General features: G+C 32.4%; 1 protein-coding gene across 6 annotated transcripts in view, besides 2 other annotated features; it reads right to left on the bottom strand.

Annotated features, from left to right (window-relative positions):
* The window catches only part of SOX6 (SRY-box transcription factor 6), a 772,029-nt gene that overhangs the window by 304,542 nt on the left and 441,874 nt on the right, over window positions 1-25,613 (bottom strand). The window lies entirely within an intron of this gene.
* Window positions 19,057-20,345: an enhancer, noted in NCBI's record as "VISTA enhancer hs883". NCBI's record gives its function as "enhancer in: forebrain[6/6]" and the evidence as "EXISTENCE:transgenic organism evidence [ECO:0001131][PMID:17130149]".
* Window positions 23,671-25,026: an enhancer, noted in NCBI's record as "VISTA enhancer hs236". NCBI's record gives its function as "enhancer in: melanocytes[11/13]" and the evidence as "EXISTENCE:transgenic organism evidence [ECO:0001131][PMID:17130149]".

A 25,613-nucleotide genomic window follows, 5' to 3' on the forward strand; every position in this document is an offset into this window, starting at 1 on the left:
ACTTAAAATGGCTAAAACTGTAACTTTTATGTTATATTTATTTTACCACAGTAGAAATCAGAGAAAGAATACATCCATTTATATTTTGAGTATTTTATCAAAAATGTGTTACAAATTATTTTGCAGCTTTTTTCAACATTTTGGAGATTATTCCAAGACTTTTTTTCCTTAGATCCATAAATATAATATATTCTATTAAGGAATATCCAAGCTTGCACTACTGGAATAATTCCACTTGAACTTTGTATAATCTATTATTAATGTGGTATTTGATTATACTTGCTCATATTTTATTTAGTATTTTTCCATCAATATTTATGTGAATTTCTGCAATTTACTTTTATGGTACTGTTTTCTCAGTCTAGGTATAACGTTATAGTTACTTCATAAACATATTTAGAAAGTTTCCTCTATTTTCAGTGCTCTGGAATGATTTATGGAGCACTGGGACTATCTGGTGTTTGAAGATATGATAGCATTCTCCTGTAAAACTTTCTGGGCCTAGTGCTTTAAGAGTATTTCTGTGATAACTTTCTTTATCTCCTCTATGGAAATCAATCTCTTTAGGCTTTCTATCTTTAACAGAGTCAATTTTGGTTATTTTTATTTCTCTAGAAAATGATCCACATTACATTGGTTTTCAAATTTATTTGCATATAAATGTAAAAAGTGGGATCTTTTGATTTTTATATTTTTCTGTAATTTAATTGTCATTTTACTTTTGTCACTCAATATTTTGCGTGTTTATGTTTTTGTTTTCAAGTTACTGATCAATTTAGTTAAAATTTGTATTACATATTAATTATTTTTAAACTATATTTTGATTAAACTGTTTTAAAATTATCACATTAATTTCTGCTTTTTATCTTCATTATTTATTACTTTGCTTTTTTCTTTGGTTCATTGGTGAGTCTTTTTTATCATTTTCTTAACTTATAATTTAATTCATTTATTTTACTCTGTAATTTTACTGATTAATTATATTAATAAAATAGAATTTTCCTCTGATCACCATTTAAAATGTATTCCATAAATTTCAAAATGAAGTGTTTTCTTCATAATTATTTTTTAGTTCTGTAACATTCAGATTATATTTCCCCTTTTATTTAACAGTTTTTAGTAAAAATTTTTCTTTTCTTAATTTCCAGGTATAAAGACCTTTGATTTTAAATTGTGTTAATGATCAAAGTTTCTTTATTTCATTCATCTAATCTCATCAATCTCTTTTATTGTGAAGAACATATAAACTATAAACTACATAAGAACAGTTCGAGGCTGGGATTAGCAGACTTTAAGAACACAGAAACCAAAAAAAGGGGGGAAGATGGTCATCTATCCACTTCACAAATGATTAAATCCATAAATAATTTCTGTTTCTAAACACTTTCAATTTCTCTACTACAAAATCTCTACACTACACTGAATTTGCCCACCTAGCCAAAATTTGAGGAGCAAAAATAAACAGTCTCAAAACAGAATATAAAGTGTATATAATTACTGCAGTATCATTAGCATTAAAAAGCTTATTCTTTATGGGCTAAAGTAATTTCACGATCTTTAGCAAAATATGTAATTTGGTCATTATTTCCAACCAATCAATATTTTATAATTACTGCAATTGTTATAGATATGAGAAAATAAGTCATCTGATTTAAATCTCAATAATAAATAGTTCTAGAAAACATTGTCTCAAGATATAGATGAAAAATGACTTTTAATGAATGAAATAAATGAGACCAAATTAAGTTCCCATATACATTCAAGAGAAATTCTAGAACTCTGTATTGCTTCCTGTCCTCTCCTGACATTTTCAACCTCTCTGCTTTCAACCTCATCTAGCCTTATAGCAGATGTGCTATAACACTCCATCTAGCACAATGTTATTTTGAGTAGCAAAGACCCTGAAGAAGATGCTGGCCTTGAGATATATGTATTTTAAAATGGGATTAATATTAGCAATCAAGTCTCTTCTCATGGTTTAAGTCAAAATGTTACCTGAAAATGTTAGATAGATGTATTATTGAATTATACTTTTCCAACAAGAATTAAAGATGCAAGATTTCTGATTATGAAGGCAAATCAAAACTAGCTCACAAATTTCACTCCGTCAATTACTTATTAAAATACAAAATTAAAGTCAGAAAAAAAATTACCAACAGCTACCAAACAGGAAAAGCAAAATAACTAAATGTAATAAACCTCAAAAACTAGCAACCAAGGAAAGAAATAGAGATGATGTGCGTGAGTCAACAAAATACTAAGAATTGTCATTAATATTTCCAAATCTGGAAAGAAGCAAACTGAACAAGTTTTGTTATCTTCTTCATTTTCAATCTGTAGTAGAAAAGAAAAATAAGAAGAAAAATAATATAGGGAAAGTGAACCACAGGGCTATTTCTGTCTGACAGATGTAAATAATCTAGTCTATACAATAAATCTGGTCAATGATCCAAAAAGTATTCTTCTGAATGAATGATAGACCCTGATCCCCATTCAAATTGCAAAATCTCAGAGGAGACAGCTCAGATCCCAAATAAAAGCTACATGTCACCTCAGCTGAGTTCTCCCCCACATCTACCTCAATATTTTTTCACCCCTGAGAAATAATTTTCTCCATCTTCTAAGGAGATAAGGCAAAGAGGCAACCAGGAGGAAATAAATACAAAAATCCTGGAAGAAAAAAAACATGATCAAGAATATAATGCTAAAGAAAGATGTCACATACGAAGATGAAAAACAGGTAGATACAAATGTTATAGAAATTTGGGAATACTACACTCCTAAGCCCTTAGGGGGCTGTAAGAAGAGGGCCTTGTTCTTAACAATGAAATTCTGCCAACTAAAAGAAAAAGTGAAAAAAAGTCAGAAAAAGAGAAGCTGTGGTAAAAGAATTAGGAGTGATGACTAAATTCATATACATATAGAATAAACATTGAACAACTATGGGAATTATAAATACAAAAAGAATGTAAATGTTATAAACCTAAACAATGCAAAAGTAAAATAATTAACAAAAACTGAGAAGTGGGCAGTAGAGATTTGGGAGAAAGTGTATAATGCCCTTATCTTTCAAAACAGAAAGCCAACTGTTTCTTTTAAAAATAAATATGTAGCTTTTATAAACTAGACATAATGAGAAAGCCTCTTAATTTTTCATAATGTCCCTCCTCTCCAGTTTTTAAGCCTTAAGGGAAATCTTTTAGCAAATATTATCCCTAATGCTAAAAATAAACATTGATTTGGGATTCAGCAACTCCTCTAATTCTACCTTGGTTTCTTCTTTTCTATAAAGTAAAATAAAATGTATCAATTTATATTTAGATAGCATCTACAGTATGACCCCATTTTTACAAAAGCCTTTCCATTTGTCCACCCATCCATATGCCCACTCACTTATCCTTCCATTTGTATAAATGTGTAAGAATGATATCTATCTAATATTAATGATGTTAATTTCTAGGTGGTGGTATTAATTTTTCTATTTTTAATTTTCATACATTTCTGTATTGATTCTTTCTCAAAAGGATCTTTAAAAGAAAAACAACAATTATTTTTCTTTAAAAACACACAGAGGTAAATATGCAAAGAGATTAACCATGTTTAGTGCTGGGTAGCAAGAAGACAAATGATTATTCCCCTCTTTGCACATTCCCACATTTGTTAAATTAAAAACAAAAGGATTAAAGGCGCTGTATTCATCATGCTGCCCAAAAATGAAGTTATTCCTCAGCATAGAAAGTGATACAAAGGTCACAATCAAACTTGTTCATTCTTAAGTATTTTCAGACAGCTAACCCAAAGACAATACGTGAAATCTCAACTAAGAGATTTCCCCTAAATAAATTATTAGGCCTTTTGGCTTTGTGTAACAAATTCTCACCTTATTATTATGTCATTAAGTATAATAGTATGCAGGTAGCCTAGGCAAGGGGCATTGGACAGCTATGTCTTACTTTTTAAATTTCCCTATTACTTCAGAAAAGAAATAAAAGAAAAAGGAATAAAAGACTAATGGATACAGAGGGGCAGAATCTTGAAAAGTCTAGAATCTAAGTAATGGGTATACAAGGGTTAATTATAACATTCTTTCTAGCTTTTTGTACACTTGAGTTTTATAATACATTTTCTTAAATTCCCCTTACATATTACACAAAGTAAGGATTCTTCGCAATTATTTCATAAGCTCATCTTTAAAACAAAACACCTCTTAGGAGCCCGAGGCGGGCGGATCACGAGGTCAGGAGACTGAGACCATCCTGGCTAACATGGTGAAACTTCATCTCTACCAAAAATACAAAAAAAAAAAAAAAAAAAATAGCCGGGTGTGGTGGCGGGTGCCTCTAGTCCCAGCTACTGGGGAGGCTGAGGCAGGAGAGAATGGCATGAACCTGGGAGGCGGAGCTTGCAGTGAGCCGAGATCGTGCCACTGCACTCCAGCCTGGGCGAAAGAGCGAGACTCAGTCTCAAAAAAGAACAAAAAACAAAACAAAACAAAACAAAAAAACACCTCTTCCTTTGGGGAGTTAAGCCAATTGGTTATTAACATCTTATTGTGAATTATTTTAATCGAATTTAAAATACCTTAATCAAATATTTTTCCTCCTATCACCTAAGATCACTTATACAAAGGGCCTATTTGATAAGGGAAAAGGAAGCATAGGTATTTTAGAGAATAGGACATTTCAGAAAGGGTAGACAGAGATAGCAATAGAGTTGGAATTGGAGTAGCAACTTACACATAGAAACCATATATGCATTTGTTTTCTTGGAAAACTTATCTAGCTTTTTGTTATCACATGTAATAATTTCAAGTACTTCTTAGCTTTCCTCAGATCAGGAAGTGAATATCATCTTAGACACTTTATTACAAAGGATCAAAAATATAAATAGATTCATATTGTAATATTTGTAGTTATCTGGGAGACTTTTCTTCTCTTTTTACCTATAGTGGAATAAATACTATAACAGTTTTTGAGTATCTGATATGATAGCACTTGATATAATATGATGTACATTAAACTAAGTACTTTAAATATATGAATTGCATTAAAATATACAAGTATGTAGAATGAGGTCAGAGAAGTTGGGAAACTTCCTCAAGTCCAGATAGCTAATATATAGTAGAAGTAGGATCCTGACCGAGAAAGTCTAAGTCCAAACTTACTTCTACCACTTTCTGTAAATGTAACTCAAAATTATCTCTAAAGAGACACAAAAATATGACTTCTCAGATTTGCAAAAATATGTGCAAGTCCTTCCTCAGCAAAGTTAGAGATTCTGCCAGAAAGGTAGAAACTAAACCTAAAGACCTTGGCTATAAGTGTAGCCCTGTAAGAGACTAGGTTGGCAATGAAAAAGCCATTCATGATTCCCTTCTCCTTCAACTGCTTTCCACTTGAGAAACTGGAAAATCAAAACATTTGCATTACTAGTCTCCTTTGCAGCTAGGGTCATTAGTCATGTGACCTAGTTCTAGATAATGAGACATGGAAGAAAGCCTGCTATGGGTCTTCTGGAAAAGAATTTTTTTAACCTTGATTACCTCTGTCCCCCAAATAAAAAAGGTATAAATAGAATAATTCTTCGTCATGCACCATCCACTGCTCCCTCTTACAGAATGTGGGCCTGCTGCGACCATCTTATAATGATAAAGGGAAGGCCAGAGGATTTGCAGGAATGCAATCAAGTCCTAACATTGTCAACCTCCTGTACCCATACCAGAAACCACTTACCTTCAGACTTCCTGCTATGTGAAAAAATTAAACACCTATTTCTTTAAGCTACAGTGTGTTGAGTATTTTGTTTTATTTGTTTTCTTTTGTTGTGGATACTTGCATCTTAAAACATTCCTAATTAATGCCAGTTTTAGCACCTAATAATTTTGTCACCTGAAGTATAACTGAACCACAATTTCTTCATTTGCTGCAAAGATTAAATGAGGTAACATTTTTAAAACACTTAGCTTTTCACACGCAGTGAGCATTCTAGTAAAAACAGTTTAATCTAAGACATAAATGCTCACCATGCCTAGCACCAAAGAACACTTTAGTGGGAGAAGCTATATATGTTAAACATTGTCACCGAAGAATCCTTGCTCTAAGGCAGATTACCTAAGGGGCATGAGAGGACTCTGTGCTATGGACTGAACTATGTTCCCCCAGAATTCATATGCTGAAGCCCTACCCTCTAAGTGATGGTATCTGGAGACGTGGTCTTTGGGAGGTAATTAGGTTTAGATGAGATCATGAAGGTGGGGCCTTCATAACAGGACTATTGACCTTAGAAGAAGAGATCTCCCTCTTATCCCTCTCACTGCCCCCACCCACTCCACCATGTGAGGATGCCAGGATGCAGGGAGAAGACAGAGATCTTCAAGCAGGAAGACAGCCCTGACAAGGAACCAAATCTGCCAACACCTCAATCTTCAACTTTCCTGCCTCCAAAACTGTGAAAAATAAATTTCTGTTGTTTAAGCCATCCTGTCTGTGGTATTTTGTTATGGAATCCAAGCTGACTGTAAACACTGTGTGATCAGCTCCTGTTACAAAGAAGCAGATAGAATAAAAAGAAAAAATTGGACTGCACAATAAAGTCTGGTATCTTCCACAAGTACTTAACAAAAGATAAATCTTCATAGGCTACTAACCTTCCATTTACCCCTCAGCCTATAGCTGCTCCAAAGACTCCACACTTTCTTTGGATCAGGAGTGAAGATAGAAAATCCCACATTCGTTTATCTTTCTTTCCTCCCCTGCTGGGGGATTGGAAGTGTAGCATTCACTTTACAGTCAATTTCCCTTATAGTTTAATATATAGCAAGATAATTAATCACATTGGGTTTGGAGTTATTCAACGTGGTTTCAAAGTAAGGTTCTGCCTATTATTAACTTTGTGGCCTTGGTTAGGCCAATTTTATCATTTACAAAGTAAGAATAGTATCTACATCATAGAGTTATTGTGAATACTAAATGAGATCATGTATTAAAAGCACTTGGCCAATGCCTGGTATTACAGAAAGTACTTGATAAAAGTCACAGCCTATATATATATTTCTCTCTTAGTGATTGATAGGATCAACAATGAACAATCCAGGCAAATTTTACCTAAATCTTATAAAATGTTAAGTTACCTTATCTCAACCATTTAAAGAGGAAAAACTGACTTTCCTCTTTTGCTACTACTATTTAGCCTAGCTTACTTCCAAAATGCCAAATAACGTTTTTTTAATTTTTAAACCAAAAAAAATGCAGTTTATTCTGGGTAACTTTCATTAAAATAAAAGATCCCAAATGAAATCTAATTATTACCTACCTGAGAGCATTCAAGTTAAAAACAAATGTTTCAAATAACCCAACAAGGCATAATTGCCTAATGAGTTTATTATCCTATAAACAATACAGTAATTATGACCTATGGTACAAACATAAAACAATACAAGCTTCTTTCTTCCCACAAATACACACTTCATCTGATCAAAACTATACACTAGAAAATATTACTCAGAGCTCATAGCGTAGACGCCAAGCTTTCTAACAGGCCTTAACTTGCACCTGCAAATAGATGGTGACTATTTCTCTTCCAAGTGAAAACTAAATCAAGCACAAAGATTTGGGGCCCCAGAACAATAACATCAAGTTTAGAGCTTGATTAAAAAAAAAAGAAAGAAATTAGATAGTGAAAGAAAACCTGAAGATGAAAATAATGTATTTTATCAACTTGAACATGGATGAAGAGAAAACCTACAGGTCACTTTAACAGTAAGGACTCAAATCCTAAATGACAGAAAATTCTTATAGATTATTAAATGAGGCTAGAATATAGACCTAGATCTAATGGGGTAAAGAAAATTCAGAGGGCTTCAAAAACAGAAACCCAAAAAGAAAACAATAACCATCCAGTTGATCAAGCCTTCATTTTCCTATTCTTGGATGTATAGGTTCAAATGGTAAATGATGAGTTGATGCCACAGAGGAAAAAATAGGTACAGGAAGACTAATGTGAAATGAGCAAAAACACTAAAAAGCTTATGTGAGTGTCTTTTTTTCCTCTTAGAATTTCTGTCTACAACGAAACTGCAGGACTCTTGATACTTTCACAAGAATGCTGTAATTTCCACACTGCCATTCTTTTACTCTGAAAAGCTTAATGTATTTCAGTAACAATGAAAAAGTCCCACTATTGAAATACAACAGTGGATACACCCTAAATGTTACCAAGGGAATGAAAAGAAAACAAGTCCAAAGGACAAAAACTGGATACTATAAAACTGAGATATAAAGTCATTCAAATTCCTAAGAAACTTGTTTTTGGATCATATCAAGACTTTATATGACCTCATTTTAACCTATACAAGGCAAAATCATATGACAAATTTTGAGAAATATAGGGTAAATCAATAATTCTCTTCCTCCAGTTTTTAGACTATCTTTTAAAAATAATACTATTTAATATCTCACTTTCATATTTCAATTTCTGAAGAGTTTGGCTATTGTGACTATATTTCTTTATATGCTAAATGTTGCAGCATGTATTTGAATTTCATCTTCACAATTACAATGTTGCTTATTAAATATTTTTAATACAGAGTCCTTGACTAACTTCAATAATAATATGCCTTGGGAACATCAGAGAATCAGATGAAAACTTACATTTTCAAAATAACAGTATTTTAAATAAGATATGCTAGGTAAATATGCTGAAAGTTAGTTACAAATTGCACAATTTAAGTATTGTGCAAGAAAATACACCCAAAACCTACTTTCACATTTTTATTTGATTTAGTTTTTGAAAATCAACTTTTTCTTAATTCATGAAAACAAAAGTGCCAGCTTAGTTAATACATATTTTATGCATTATAGCTTGATTACTGAGTAATTAAATTGTATACCAATGAGGCATACTAACTCTTGAAAAATCTATATTTGGATGCTATACTCAGAGTTTTCTTAAGATAAATTAAATCAGAAAAGGGTGAAAACAATTTCAAAATGACCCAAAGCTTCAGTCCACACGTCATTTGAAAACAAAGTTTTTCAATGGTAAGCAAACAACAAAATGTATCAAGAAATGACTTAATCAAAAAAGGCCATTTCTTTCTCAATGCTTGACTCCATTAGTCTTATTGGCCAACCATGGACATATGTATATGTTTTCAGTGTATGCGTAAGAGTCAAATATTTCCTTGGAGATGTCAGTTTTGTCGAAAATGCAGATACAGTAATTTTGATGCCAAAAATGATATCAAATTTGCTTTCCCCACAAAAATTTTGGATTTTGTCCTTGATTTATCAAAAACAGAGACCTTTGTGAGAAGGGAATGACTCAAATTGGTTAGCCCACCAAATTTGGGCTTAAATAAAATAGAAAGTTATAATACTTTATTTGAGCTTTTTTTTTTTTTATAGAAACCGTATGCATGACTTTCACTTTCTAGAAAGTGGTTTTCTCTTGAACACACATCAGAACCATTCATCATAATATAATTGCAAGTTGTCAGTCAGGGCCGCACCCTTCACTTTGTGGCAAACCGCCAACACATCTGTCAGAAGCACTCATAAGCTTCCGTGTGTTATTGTAATCCTCTACAAAGAGAACAAGCTCATTCACCGATTTCACATTTTCCAAACAAAACAATGACTTCTTAAAACCCAATCCAAATCAAACTGTGTTTCCCTATAGACCATGAGCTACTTTCTCACCAAATGACTAATGGCACCAGTAGTTAAAGAGAATCGTATTATCTTGTGTACGGTTGAATTACTTATGTGCTAGACATGCATTTTTAAAAACAAAGAAAGGTGTTCATATTGTATGGTTATATGTATGAATATTCAATATGCATATATAAGGACACTGTAATAACATAAATAACATACTATTTCAATAAATTCCTTTGCCTTAATTATCGTTTTGTCATATAAATACTACATATTGATAGAAACCAAATCCATTTTAGTTGAAAACAAAATGTACTCTGGAGTTATAGCAGATCAGTACAATTGTCATTAATTTAAATCATCCCTACAGTCTGAAAGAGTCAGCCCTCAACAAAGTAGGACAGTAGAAAGAGGATAAACTTCCTTGCAGCTACACGAGAGTTAGAGTTTTTCTATTCACTCTACATCTGCCCTTCCAAAGAAGTTTCCAAGTATCAGAAGTAAAGCCTAAAACTTTATTACCAACAGAATAAACCCCTTTAAAAAATAAAATTGGATCCAAGATGTCAAATGTTCAGAAGTCATAGCTTTTCAAATTGCTTTTGGTCGTGTATGTGTCACATATATGTGTATGGTCATTGCTACCCTGCCTGCATGCTCTCTCTCTCTCCGAGTAACAGAGACCCCAAAATGCTATGTCAAAGAAGTTTTCGTACATTTATTTGAATGAAAGACACATGAATTACCATTGAAGATATGAGTATTTTTCCCACAAGATAGAGCAATCTTTACAAAGACACACATAAATATTTATATCCACACATTATATACAGATGTATTTCATTTTTCCTACTGTATTTGTCAGACATAATCAAAGCTTTCAGGAATAGTGGAAGTGATTGGAACAAAATCTCCAAACCTAGTAAAACTTTGTTGATTCTTAGTAATCAATAACATACGTATTTAATAGACCCTATGGTGACTATAAAACAGATTCCATATTAATATCTGTTAATATAGTACTTAAGTCTGGCAAGTGATTTAAACATTCTATATTATTTAAGCTTCATTAAATGTGTTATTTAATGTTGTCACCTAGGTAATAACTTCCCAATATTATAAAAGATTCAAAAAGGTTAAGTGATTTTCCCATGATGATACACCAACGCAAATTCATATCTTCAGATTCCAAAAAAGTCATGGCTTTATTATGTGTATTTTCACTGAGTTATACGAACACACAAATATAAACGTTAACATAAAAGCAAGTTACATAATATTAGACAAGTTATATACACAAGTTATTATATATAAAATCACATATATATAAAATCATGTATATATATATATATATATATATACACACACACCCTTTTACTAAAAAGGACAATACAGATTTAGGAAATTCAGGACATACAATGCACACTAGATGCAAGAAAAAAAATTAATTTGGGATACTTTCTCTCATAAATCTCAGTAAGTTTACCACAATATTTTCATATATTCATTTCTCAGTCAAATATATAGTCATGAAACTCAAATAAAATGCCTTATATCTGTTCCCTTCCATTGAGGTGAAGAGATGCAATCAAATAATTCTTATACTAAATATTATAAAATAATAATAAAGAATATGTATTTGATGAAAGGATAATGAAACCATGCCTGCCAGTCTTTATTGGAAAGAAATACAGATATTCATTTATTTTACTTTTCATCAAGAAAGTAGTTAAGTTTTCTGGACTCAAAATAAAGTTTATTTTTAAAATGTTTACAAGTTTAATTATTGGAACATTACATACACAATGAATGTGAAGTAGAGATTAATACAGGAATTTCTTGAATATGCAAAGTAACTCTATCAAATTGGCCAGCTATAACTGTTTCTTGATACCCACTAACTTTTTTAAATTTTTAAGCCCAGTTTTAAATGGTGGTTAAAAAAACACATTTCCATGATAAGAACATTTGATCCTGAACAGTTTTTGAAAGTCTATTTGCCATTTTGAAGATATATAATTCATTATTATTGAATTATATTTATTATTAAACCATAGCAAAAATAGGTATGAATTTGGAGGTTATTTAAAGAAATTTCAAACTAAATATCAATTGTCAAAATATGTATACGCCAAAAAACTATACATTTTGACAATCCATTACTACTTTATCAGCTATGAAAATTAAAAATATTTTTAAACCACAGTTTTAAAATTAATGTTCTTACTACTTGAAGTGATTATACAAGCACACATATATTTGCCCAATATTTTGGCAAGATATCAAATACAACTCTATAATTGCCCATATTAAAAATGGGAGAATCAAAATTTATTTGGTGAGAGAGAGAAAGGGAGCCCTATGAGATGTGAGTATATATATATATATATATATATGTAAATTATATATAATTTGTATATATATGTAAATTATATATAATTTGTATATATATATATATATATATATATGACTCTGCTGAGGGTCAAAGCCAAATATAAAAATGAAAACATTTATTTTGGTGCCACCCAGTTCATATCAATTGAATGGCAATATCCAAACCACATTTCAAGTAGTAGATGACTCAAATAGTATTCATGCAAGAAACAGGCTGTTTTCAGTATCTATAAACAATCATAAACAAGAAAATTTGACAACCTACTTTTAAAAAATAAATTGATTAAAAATATTAAAATAGAAATATATATCAAAAACATTGCATAGAATTCTTGAATGCTTTCATAATAAAAAGTAGATGATTTTATGTTGTACAATAAAATTGCTCAAGAAAATTATGTTCAAAAGGTGAAACAATAAATTATCCCAAATAAGTTACCTCTAGATAGTTTATCAGAAAATAATTTTCTTTAAACCATAATTTTCAAAAGAAGTTAGAAACACATACATAAACACACAACACTAACATAAGAAAACCCTTTGTAAAACACTAAAAGATTACTTCTGTGGCTTTAATTTTATTTCAATTAAAGGTGCTAAACCTTATTAAGAACATTTTTATTTTTATTTTGTGTTCTTAAGCACTACATAGCAAAAGAAATTATCTCAAGTGAAGGACACAAACAAACCTATAACAAAGAATGATTATATTTACCATATTTTCTTGTTATGTCAGAGAGGAAACTCTATTCAATGCTGCTAATGTTCGATAATTTCAGTTACTTTTTAAAAAGTTCTCTAGATTCATGTTATTCTCCTTTCAGCAGTTATGGTTTAAAATAACTAAGGTACTCCAGAAATCTTGAAAGAAAGACTTGCTGAAAAATATAAAAGATGACCAAATTCAGAGTATAATTATGCACAGTTTCTAATATCAATATTTAAATAATGTGTTTACACTATTAATAATGAGATAGAATACTTCTTTCTTCTTACATTAATATTTAGCAAGAAAGAAGTGTTATTTTCAACCCTAAAATGTTAACTCCAATCACCTAAGACTACAGATACCTTCTCTCTCAAGTCTATCAAGCTGCTTCTGATATCTCTTACAGTAGAGAACTGGGTGTTCATGCTAATTAAATAATCTAACTAAAAGAGTTACTACATTAGTACATGGGCTATTAATTTTCATAGAGTTTATGTTATTTGCTACTGAACATAATTTAGTTTGTATTGCTTCAGGAATGATTTAACAATTTGCAAATGTTATTGTCATTTGTCAATAGGCAAAAATATCTGTTGAAAGAGTGTTCTGACAGAGTACAAGTAAACCTAGTTTTACTGTACGTGGATATAGAATATTTTCAGTTTTACACACTTCAAAGAAGATGTTTTAGTTCTCGTACCATTTACTCTACATTTCCCTTCTTATTCATGCTTCTATTATATAGTTTAACATATTATATTAATATAATCTTTTATATTCACTCCCCAACAGATATTTATTGATCGCCTTTTATGTTCTAGGCAATATGCTAGGTTCTGGGAAGAAAAAGGTGAATTAAACAAACACGGTGCCCTTCCCTGGTTGAGCATCAGTTTACTAGGGAATACAGGTACATCACCAAGCAAATGCAAATGTGTTTTAGAAGAGCTATGATCCAGGAAGTGTGGGTGCAATAGAAACCCACGTATGTCAGTCTACCCCTACGTCCATACCAAACCCACCCGCTACTATTTCCCTTGTGAGCCTCTTCTGGTAAAGCTGTATTTTATTCAAATTCTTGTCCCATGTGCCTACCACTGTGCTCATTTAATCTGCTTGGTATTTTGAATGATTTTTCAGTAATAATGAAACACATGTCCTAAGGTCTAAACACTTTCTTATCTCTTCTTATTTATGACCATTGGCATATAACTAAGGTACATTAAAAGCACATAGTATATACTTCAGTTGCAAATTAGATTATAAATTATAATTTTTTAGATAAAACAGACTATTTCTAGGTTTTATTGGAAGGGCAGTATAGTCAAGTGAGCCTAACTGGACAACAGATGAAACAAACCTGCCAGTTTTCTTTCATTAAATATAAAAAACAAAATAAATGACATTAAAATATCAAATAACTAGACTACAACAAATAAAATGCTAATTAACTGAATGTTTTAATATTAAACTGATAGAATAATTGTAAAAAATATTTTTAAGGCAGGTGCAGTGGCTCATGCCTGTAATTCCAACACTTTGGGAGGCCAAGGCAGGGGGATCATCTGAGGTCAGGAGTTCGAGACCAGCCTGATCAACATGAAGAAACCCTGTCTCTACCAAAAAGACAAAAAATTAGCTGGGCGTGGTGGCACACGCCTGTAATCCCAGCTAGTCGGGAGGCTGAAACAGGAGAATCACTTGAACCCAGGAGGCGGAGGTGGCAGTGAGTCGAGATCGCACCATTGCACTCCAGCCTGGGCAGCAAGAGCGAAACTCCATCCCAAATATGTATATATATTTATATATATTTTTAGAAGGAATTTAAAAAATTTTAAATGTCAGGGTGTTTTTCAACATGCCAGTGACTGTCACTGTGCTTAATATGCAACAAGAGCTCAATAAATGTCTGTGAACGAATGAATGAAAAATTCACCCAATTTTCTACACTTTCTATTATGCTGTATCCTATGATCATCACAAAGACTCAGAGATACTTCTGAGATGTTGCCTGATCCTAAATCAATAAAAGTTATTTCAACTATATTACTAATACAAATGTGCTATGGCAGGAAAACCACCTAAAGTCTCTGTAAATGTTTTCAATTGATACGGAAGCAAATGAGTCTTCTGATGAACCCTCAAATATAATATACATTTGTTTGTATTTTCCATTGTTAGAATTTCCCAAGAGAATACATATTTGGCATAGAAAAATAAAATGAATACGTTTCTATTATATGCCTTATAAAATGATAAGATACAGTGTTCCAAGGTAAAAGTACTCACAAATTCAGGAAACTGAGCTTCTTGAAATAAAGCAAAATATCATGATTTTTAAAGCCATATAAAATGAATATCCAGTTGTTGTCTTATTTCTTGCCTCTGGAGAGGATTTCCTTCTCGAATAAGAGAATGTCTTTTACAGATTTCCAGGGTCCACGGTGATATTCAGAATAAGCTGCTAGATAAAAGCATCTCAGTGTGTACTGGGATCTATGCAACTTAGTTTTGTGTCTAAGCAATGACTAACGTCATTGCTTAAAGAGTCTACTGAAGTTTTAGTCACTGTTGCTGACTTCCCAACAGGCAGACCTGGCAGCAAGAAATTCTTAGTACATATCAAGAAGAAGAGGAATGCTCCTGGACATTCTATTTACTAAACTGCAGGCCAAATTGTCTTAAGATATTACTAATATATAACTAAGAGATACAGCATATCCTTCAATTCATATTCAGCATATATATGCTATATGCTCTCTCTATATAGCATATACTTCAATATAACTAAGATATCTTTTAATATGATGATCACTGTGTTCAGTGAGGTATTTATGAGTCACATGAATTTTTATGTGTAGTGGTGTCTTATAAAAAGGAAATGCTAGCAGACATATTTTGGAAAATTGTGCTTTTACCATTCTCTTCTATTTCAGTGCCCTTTGCCTATTTTCTATCTTCCAATTATTGCAGTCCTGTGCTCATGTTTCATATAAGGAATATAAATTTAAACTATTAATATCTGTTAAATAATAGTAGCAGAAATTTGGGTTTATTATTTTTTGACATATTTCATGATTTATATTTTTTAATTAAACTTTAACCAAAAAAGTGGTAGAACAGATGAAATATTTATGATTGTTTAAGCTAGATGATAGGTCCATAAGGGCTCATCATACTATTTTCTCTACTTTTGTGTAGGTTTGAAAATTTTTCCACCATAAGGTTTTTTTAATGGAAGAAGTTTGTTATGAAAAATGCTAGAAAAAAATTAAATTTGACAGTTTTTTCAAAGCAACATGAAAACACAAATATACTTTCCTGTTGCTGTTGTTAACATAGTTATGTAGATGAATCTATGAAATGTAAAATTGTTGTTCTGATGAAAAGCGTCACTCAAGAGAAGAGCAATAGTTTATTTGATTAGGTATTTGGGGGCAAAGAGATGCTATATTGTGCTATACCATCTCTTCCTGTTAGTCTCTCCTTTTAATCTCTCTTCTCTCTGTCTCTCTCTCTCTCTCTCTCTCTCTCTCTCTCTCTCTCTCTCACACACACACACACACACACACACACACACGCTCCTCCTATACTATTGCTGTATTTAAAGAACCTCCTCATACCCTGAAGACATTAACAATGGTCAAGTAAAGTACAGGCCAACTGAGTTCATGCAATCCTAATAAGCCTGAAATGCAAGTTAGCTCAAAGGGCCCCATTAAACTCAAGTACTCCACCTGGACACTGTGCTTACCATGTTGAACGGAAACATAGAAGAATAGAAAAAACACTGAAATAAGTATTAAGTGCCCTAAAGTTTTACTCCAGCTCCCCATTTACCAGCTATTCAATACATTAATCATTAATTTCCTCATTTCTAGAATAGCATAAGAGTATCTGTCCTTCCTTACACTCAAAATTTTTATGAGGCTGAAATAAGGCATGCAAAAGCCCTTTGCAAACTGTAAACTATGTACGATTAGAGTATTATTAACTTAACAAAGACCCAGAGAATTCCTGGTATACTCATTTATACAACAAAGTCAAGCCATTACACATTTGACCCCACACTGGGAAGCTTTGTTGGGCCTTGGGTACCGTCAGGTGGTTCCTAAGTTTCCCATTGACTCCAAAATAGTGAGCAGGGAAGAAGAAAGATGGGTTGTAAATGAAATTTAAAGTATATTTAAGCTCACATACATTTAATCTGCCTTTGAAAAAAGAGAAGGGTGGAATTGAGCCAAACTTCCTAGTAACATTGTCTCCCACCTTCATATATATCCTTCAGGCTTTGTGCTGCCTTTCATACTTTACAGGTACACTGGCTATTCATTAACTTGATTTCACCTGAAAAATGTTCAAGAGAGGGAGTAGAGAAAAGGCAGGAGTACAGTGTGAATTCTCAAGGGTCCAGTATTCCCTGGAAATAACCCCGATTCAGAAGATTCTCTTCCCATCATATACAATTTCTTCAAACCCTTGCTCAACTCAAGACTATGCTAAGGCCTGGTCTTTCAATATATTTGAGTTTATAGTTATCCTACTCTGGATCAGCCACCTAAATACTTTATTCAACTTCTGTCCACATGACCTGGTGAACCTGCTCTTTTTATATGCTTTATAGTCTCATTTTTACCATTCCCATCCTCATAATAGGATGGTTTGTGGGCTTTGTGTTTGTTTACAAGGGCATTAGATATACTAAATATGAGAAAAAGCAGTATCAGAAGTAGATATCTAAGTGGAGAAAGCAGATATGTTCTAAAGCTAGAATTTTCTTCAAACCACTGAAATGCTAAACATTGGTACATTCAAATATACTTTTTAGTAAGATATTTTAGAGCCCAGTCATTCATTTATTAAATATTCTAACATTTATGGGGACATGCTATTAATATATATAAGCCTATGAGGGCTTGTCAATGACATACCAGATAGTGAAGTTTCATAACAGTTCAGTTACCAAAAAGTACACCTTTGATTTCTCAGTACTATATGATGTCTCTATGTAGAAGTTATCCTTGGACAAAGAGAAAGTATTTTATATAATACTTTCATTTCCAGAACACATTCAGAGATCTACAATCCTGATTTGTCTCAAACCTATTTCTTAGTCTCCATTAAACAAATCATATTTAACATAAATATATCCAGTATACAATTTTTCACAAATTAAAATGAAAGCTAATTTCTGACCTTTGTTTTTTAAAATTCTAATCCACAAACTGATAATTATTCAAAGGTCAGATAAAATAATATAATGAATTCTGGGCACAAGATGTCCTCATATTAATGAATTTATTGAGAAAAAAATTAAGTAATGGCACCAAAACAAATGGCAAGAATTAAAACAAAAATTTTAATTTACCAAGAAAAAAATTTTCCATTAGCTATTTGTATAGTTAAAAACAATTATTACTCCCTACTAAAATCAGTTACATGAAGTAAGGTTAAGATTTTTCTTAACAGTTTTAAACAAGATGACCTATTAGGGAATAAAATTAACAATTTCATACAACTCCCTGGTTGTATGAATAGAAATCAAGGTGCAGGATATGTGACTAGATCTGTGCATATGAAGTAACTGACAAGTCTGGCACACTCTGGTAGCTTCCATAACCTACTCTTTGAGCATGACTACCTCAGGATTTTCATCTCTTAAATAGCTAAGGTTTTCAGCAGGCAGTAAATAATGTGCGTTCAAAAACAACTGAGGTATCTCACTTTTATCTTTCTAATCAAGAGTCAGATTGCTATGCCTAAAGACATTTTCTGTCTTCAACTTAAAGAAATGAACACGTCAGATTAGATAAACCAGACAGCTGCTAACAAAAAACCTAGGTGTGCCTTTTGATTTACTAAAGCCCAGATGCATCCAAATCAAAGAATAAAAAGAGCACATAAATGACAAACTCCTAGAAAACTTTCTAGGTGCATCTGGGCTTTATTCGCAGCCTATCAATTCTGTGTCTGACAAACCAGTCCAGGATTTAAATCTCTGTAAGGAATAAAAGCAGAAGTTGATTGGCCCAGAGTAAAATGTGGTTTAACATGGGCCTAAAGTCCACCTGAATACACTACAATGGCTACGTCACAAAGAATACCAATACTCATCTTCAAGAAAAAAATACAGTGATGAAAATGGACTTCAAGTATTGCTACAATGGTTCTGCTGGGAGCTGAAGTCTAATTAAGATGATTAGATATAAAGTCTTTTAACAAAAAGTCTTTTAACAAGCATAATATTAATAAAGCAAAAAATCTGAAATTTCCTACACCTGCAATGATTTCCATGTTTCCATTTCAACTGCCATATTCACTGTACTTGTTTCGGTTACTACCCTCAGAATGGAGTTAAGTCAACCCAGATGTACTGTCTCTCAGACTATCAAGAAAGTGTCTTCCTCTAGGGCCATGAATCTTCATTTCTTCTAACAAACACAACCAAAGCACAATAAGAGCACTAAAAAATCTGATGAAAATAAACAGCTCAAAATCAAAGAGTAAATAAAATAGCTTTCAAGTTTTCTTAGTTGGTGAATTATTTCCATCTGAAACCTATGAAATCATCCATTTTATGACACTTTTAATAGTAATATTTGGGGTTATTAGCATGATAAACTTCTCACCTATTCATCTTTTACTTTTAAAAATCTGCTCATCTTATGACTAACACCTTGGCATTCAAACAAATACTATGCTGAGACAGAAAAAAATAAAACCTGTATAAATGACAGAGTGTTCAACCATGAACACATTGTCTTTTATGAATATTATAATCACAGAATCAATAAGCCTACAAAGAAAAAACAGGACACAAAACGTGTTTTGTCATTTCTGACGAAGTTATAAAAACAACAGACATTCAATATGCCAAGTGTTCTTCAATCCTTCATAATCATAGCCTTATTGAAGTGAGGACAAAAAGGGTCTAATTGCATAGGAGCAATCTCAATGTAATAGGTTATACACCCAGGCACTGCTGCACAATACAACAAAAACAACGTTCCCTGTGTATAGCAGAATGTCATCTCTCATTTTCAGGCAATTACCTTCTTTCTTGTCAACAGTTTTAATAACCTCCATCATCTCTAAAAGACTTTTGCTTCAGTTAAATAATTTTCAGCTTTTTAATATGCAAATGTGCTTGTTCATATGCATGGGTGAAGTGGCACTGCTACTTGAAATGTGTCAGTACATTGTGGAGCACCTGCACCTCGGGGAAGCTTGATTTAATTGACACCTAATACTATTCATTATTCCACTTAGTGAGCAACTCCTATTAGTCACCTGTAGGTTTTCCTATAAGCAGTGCTTTGGCCACCAATAAAAATATGAATATTTCTATAAATAGAATGTTCATATTTAGTAAATGGGGTTCACTACTGTCAGAGCTTTGGGAGAAGATAGGGGGATAATATGGAATCAATAGTTTTTTCAGCAGGCAATTTATAAACTTCCTCTCATTTTTCTATAAATTTATATATATATATATATATATATATATATATATATATATATATATATACGAGGTGTTGTGCTGTCTGGTAAACACAAGATGCTGTTTTCTTTTATGTGGCTCAATAAGTAATATCCTGCTCAATATAATGAATGAATAAATAAATAAATAAATAAATAAACAAATAAATGAGTGAAAGGAAGGATGGATGAATGGATGGATGGATGAAAGAACGAATAAACAAATAAACCTACCTTGCAGAATACACCATTACGTTTTTTGTTGTTGTTGTTGTTTTGTGTGTTTCAGTAGGGTGTTCTCAATTCTAATGGCTCCAGCCTAAAGGTGCTATTTAAACTGAGTTATTTACCATAATATAGGACCTACATATGCCACAAAGTTAAGAGGCAAAAGCAGAATTTTGTCTATAAACAAATATATATTGATGTCATCTTCTTAGGTAGGCAGGTAAATTAATGGCTAAAATAATGCTATTGTGAGGCATGTGCGTACACATTTTAAATGACTTCAAAATATCAGCGAGGAGAATTATAACACATATGGGATTTTGTGTATTTGTTGGTATTAATGTAATAAATATGTACTGTAAATGATGATAACTTAAGTCTATTAGTCTTTTTTGCCTTTATGAAAATGGAAGGATTAACAATGGAGGGTATGTGCAGACTTAATATTGGGGATGTTTCTTTACCACATGGTCTGTGACCTTATCATCCAGGCCACATTTCTTTCTGGCATTAATGCATTTGTTAGTCCCAGAGGCTTAAACTACAGATGTTTAACATCCTGCTTATGGGCAGATCATCTGGAATACAAAGTGAGAAATCTATACTACTTATTAGTATATATTATGAGTGTAACAGAGATTTAATAGCCCATTCAAACAAGATTAGTGAAACCATAGCTCAGGAAAGGAAAAGTATCATCTTAACTCAGATATGTTATCAAACCTGTGGGGAAAAACAAAGAAGAACTGAAAGTATATTTTCAGCTGGAATATGTTTTAGGACATCAAAAGAAATTGCCACTAATTAATGTTGTTTATATAATAGCATAAGAAACATTAATTATATCCTTCAATGTAAACTTAAAACCTTTTTATGGAAAGGGGATTTATAAGTAAGGTGGTAATCTGGCGCTTTGGAAGGCTTATCTACAACACACTAAGAGCGATCATAAATCATGTTAATGTCTAGAATCCAAAGAAAAGTGAGGTGATAGTGGGAAAAGATTGAGTTCTCTTAACCCCTAGGTCCAATCATTTCTATAGAATAAGTGAAAAAAAGAAAGCAGTGGTCAACTAGACCTTTGTTGGTATCCCCCAAAATGTAATCTCTAAACTGAAGAATGGCAGCTGGCAGAACAGCTGGTGAATAGGATTAATGTCAGAAGAAAGAAATAAAACTCAACATATGTCCAAGCCTGCGGTGCTGGGACTGAGCATGATTATACCCCGACGGATAGGCTGAATACAGCTGGAAAGTGCCACTGTGCCATGCTTCTCTACCCGACAAGGTCATCGCTAAGAAGTACAGCTAATGTCTGAACAGCAAACTCAACTTTGTCTGAAGAACTTGGTAACTGGTACAGAGAGGGAACCCGGGTTTTTAACCCTAACCATGCACTGAATAGTTTAACGCTCGGTGCTTAGTTTCCTGTACCACAAAGCAAACCAAAAGACAGATTAGCATTGAATCTAACAGATTGCACTAAAGTAAATATAATTTTTAAATCATTTAAACCGCTTAATCTCATCTCAATCACATCAAATATTTAGAGCAAACATATTTCCATCTTTCATTTAGAGTTTAAATAGGCACAAAGGAGAAAAAAATCTAATTAAATATCTAACAGTAGATATGCTTTTGTAAATTGTCAATGTTTTTCCAAAGTTAACATTTTAAAATTACTGAATCACAATTAGCAAAAATATTTTAAAGCAGTTTTTTATAGTACAGCCATCATGTTCTCACACTGAATAATATGAGAAAGTTTTATCTTCCTGCCCTATCCCCATGATGTAGTTGGCCCACTTTAGCCTTTTGTAATAGTAGATGAGAGACACCGGAATTTAACTGTTGGAACTAGCTACAGTGATAAACAGCAACCACGTGGACATTACAGATAGATGAGAAAAGGCTTTGTTATTTATAGAAACTTAGGCAGCATAAATTCTGTCCAATTGTTTCCTTATTAAACAACTACTGTAAACATTTTAAAAAGAGATCAGTAATCATTTCTAAGAGAGCACTGCCCTACTTGTTTCTGACATTTATTTCCTTCAGATGCCAGAGCTAACTTGAGCTCAACAAGCAGATTATCAGAGGCAACAAATCACCTTCCCATCTAAAAACAGCTAGCACTCTCACTACATTCTTTTGGCAACACATCCTTAAGTAGGGGTGGGAGTGGGGAGAGGGAGTTAGAGAATTGTATTACAAAAGAAAAGAATAGAGATGTGACTTTTACAGGTCTAAGCACAGTTCCACAGTCTCAAGGGAAATTTATGTGAAATTACAACCAACCAACAAAAATCTACCTAAATAGCCACTCTCTGAAGACATCACATTTTATTTCTCATATCCAAGATTAGTACTTGGGGGTCACCGCAGTGAGAGACGACCAGGCCCTACATCTCCTCTGCTTGCACTGTTCTGAGGCTGTCAAAAACCCAGAGCAGGATTATTCTCTACAGTCAAATGTAAACTTCTCACCACCTTGCTTATTTTCTTTTTCTCTTTCTACACATAAACTAATTACTGGCTTATATATGCATTATGGCAGCATCAATTAAAAAAAAAGCTCCAGAAATTAGGAAACAAAATTTTAGAAGTTTTAGGTAAGCATGCTAATGGTTTGAAATTCAAGGGGCCAATCACGCTTATTTTCTTTCTTAAATGATTTTCAAATAAGCATGGCCATATTTATGCAAGAGGGGCTTCTTACCAGGTAAGATACTCAATGGACCCTTCAAATGACATTTCAGATAATTCATCAGGCTAGAAAAATTGCCATATATCATCATTAATGTAATAAACAGTAAATGTTTATTACATTAATATCAGGAATTATTATTTTTAAAAGTCTTGAGCTTCACTTTGTGTACATGCCAGCTTTTACTTAGATCTAGGAGTAAGTAGCAACTTTCAATGCCTTTGGGCAATTGGACATCGTTATTTTATTTCTAAATTTTTACTGACATTTTAAAACTCTCCTTGGTATTTGGAATTTTTAAAATGTTAATCTGGTGTGGTACATAGCTCAATGAAATCTCAAATCATCCTACATTAAGTGTTTAACACTAAGGAAATAGTCACTATTTCTGGAAAACTCAAATGCTAGAAAAATCTATGTATAGTCCAAATAAATATTTAAATGAAGTTGCCAGTTTTAATGCTGTTATAATGGCTACTACCAACCATTTTATAAAATTCCAAGATTGCATGCTTTGAAGTTTAATGACACTCAACATTTTCTAGATTCTTTAAACACTGAAAAAAATTGTTTTTATTTGTCATTACAGAATATGGAACATAACCTCCATAGCTTATTAATGTCTTCTGAATTGTTTAAGGGGATTTAAAGATATGAGTTAAAAGAATTTCATAATCTTAATTTCAATTTCTCCTTTTCATTTAATAGTAGACATTCATTAGGACCCACACACTGTAATAAATTATAATAATTTCAAACAAGAATTAAATTACTAGGTACCTAGTGAAAGAGCCATTTTTTCTTAGGTACCCTGTAATCTAACTGTCAGATTTAAAATCTATTCCCAATCAACTCTTCACAACATTCACATTTATTCATCTATGTTAAATTAATAAAAGGTGTGAATAATACTGACAAAATTGATCATTATTGTTCATGTAGATTTAGAAAATTATAAGGTAATCTAAAATGTAAAAGGAATTGAGAGAAACTATTAAGGTTCTTATAAATAAATTCATCCTATGCTATTTTTTCAAATCAAGACTGAAAGTTCTACGAGACTTATTTAAATTAACTATACAAGGTATTTGATAAATTGTGCATTTTTAGAGCATAAACCATTTTCATTATTTTTGACAAATACCAGTACAAAGACTCTACTACAGCACTAGGGTTCAACAAATACTTTAGGAAGCTATGCCAAAATGATGTTGCAAAGTAAAACCTAATAGCAATCTGAGACAGTTTATAGCAGTTTGATGAAGAAAAGACACAATCACAAGAGAACATCAAAAGCAGATAGCCATCCGGAAATAAATACCACCCCCCCTCATCTTTCCTGTAGATATAGTAATGGAGGTATAATTCTTACCTGGACTACAAAAGAGAAATACAATTCTATTGACTAATGTCCCAAAACAGAACTCCCTTCACAAAACAAGTTTGCACACTTACTCTATTTCCTACCATCTAACCTTGCTGACCCCCTCCTCTTTAACTGGCATCCCTGAAGATAAAGTAAAACATGTCAACATCTGTTCCCATTCACACCGATTTTAATTTACCAAAAGAGCTTTGCTATTTTCAGAGCAGACTCCAGAGCACAATGACAGATTTAGGGCCTTTACTGGGGTTGCATTTCTAGTGTGTCAGCATTTCCTACTCACTAAGAGTAAATTCCAGGGGGTCACAACAAAGGAATAGCTGAAATTCAAACTTCATTATAGAGATTTTTCCCACCCTTACTTATTTCATCACAACTTAAACTACCAACAGGCTATCCTATTTAGTGAGGCATCACTGGTGCTGCACAGTAATTGGACTAAAATTATCTAGTCCTGGGGCAAAGATGAAGGTCCTTTAGGCCCTTCCTATGGAGTTATACATACATAATTACCTCTTCCAGAACTTTATATCTGATTGAAATTTAATCACCATAATATAACATTTTTATAACTCTTTAAATTTGTAAAATAGTATATGCTTTTTAAAACACTTCCACATCCTTAATGTCTGTTTCATAATTCAATTATAAGTACTGAGTTTTAAGCCACAATTATTCTTTCCAACCTAAGAATTCCATAGTTATGTCTTTTTTAATACCATGCTTTACTCAGATATTTTAAATGTGTATAAAGAAAGTCACTCTCACAACACCCCAGTTTCCCTAGATAATTCAGTTTTTAAGACACAATGTGAAGAGCAACTTGGTGAAACAATGCACAAGTTGTGTTGTAATCAAATAACAACTAAGACATGAGCAGCTGAGCAGAAGGAAGATGGGCAACGGAATGCTGTACAGCAATCAGCACTGTTGACTAATCAGAATTTGAGACACTAGAAGGTAATAAGGGTATTATAAAGAATGGCTTATTGAAGGAGCAGCTGTTTATGTGTAGCTCACTGTTTAAATGAGTTCCACTAGATTGCCATGGTATGT

This window comes from Homo sapiens, chromosome 11, assembly GCF_000001405.40.
Source record: "Homo sapiens chromosome 11, GRCh38.p14 Primary Assembly".
Classification (NCBI taxonomy): domain Eukaryota; kingdom Metazoa; phylum Chordata; class Mammalia; order Primates; family Hominidae; genus Homo; species Homo sapiens.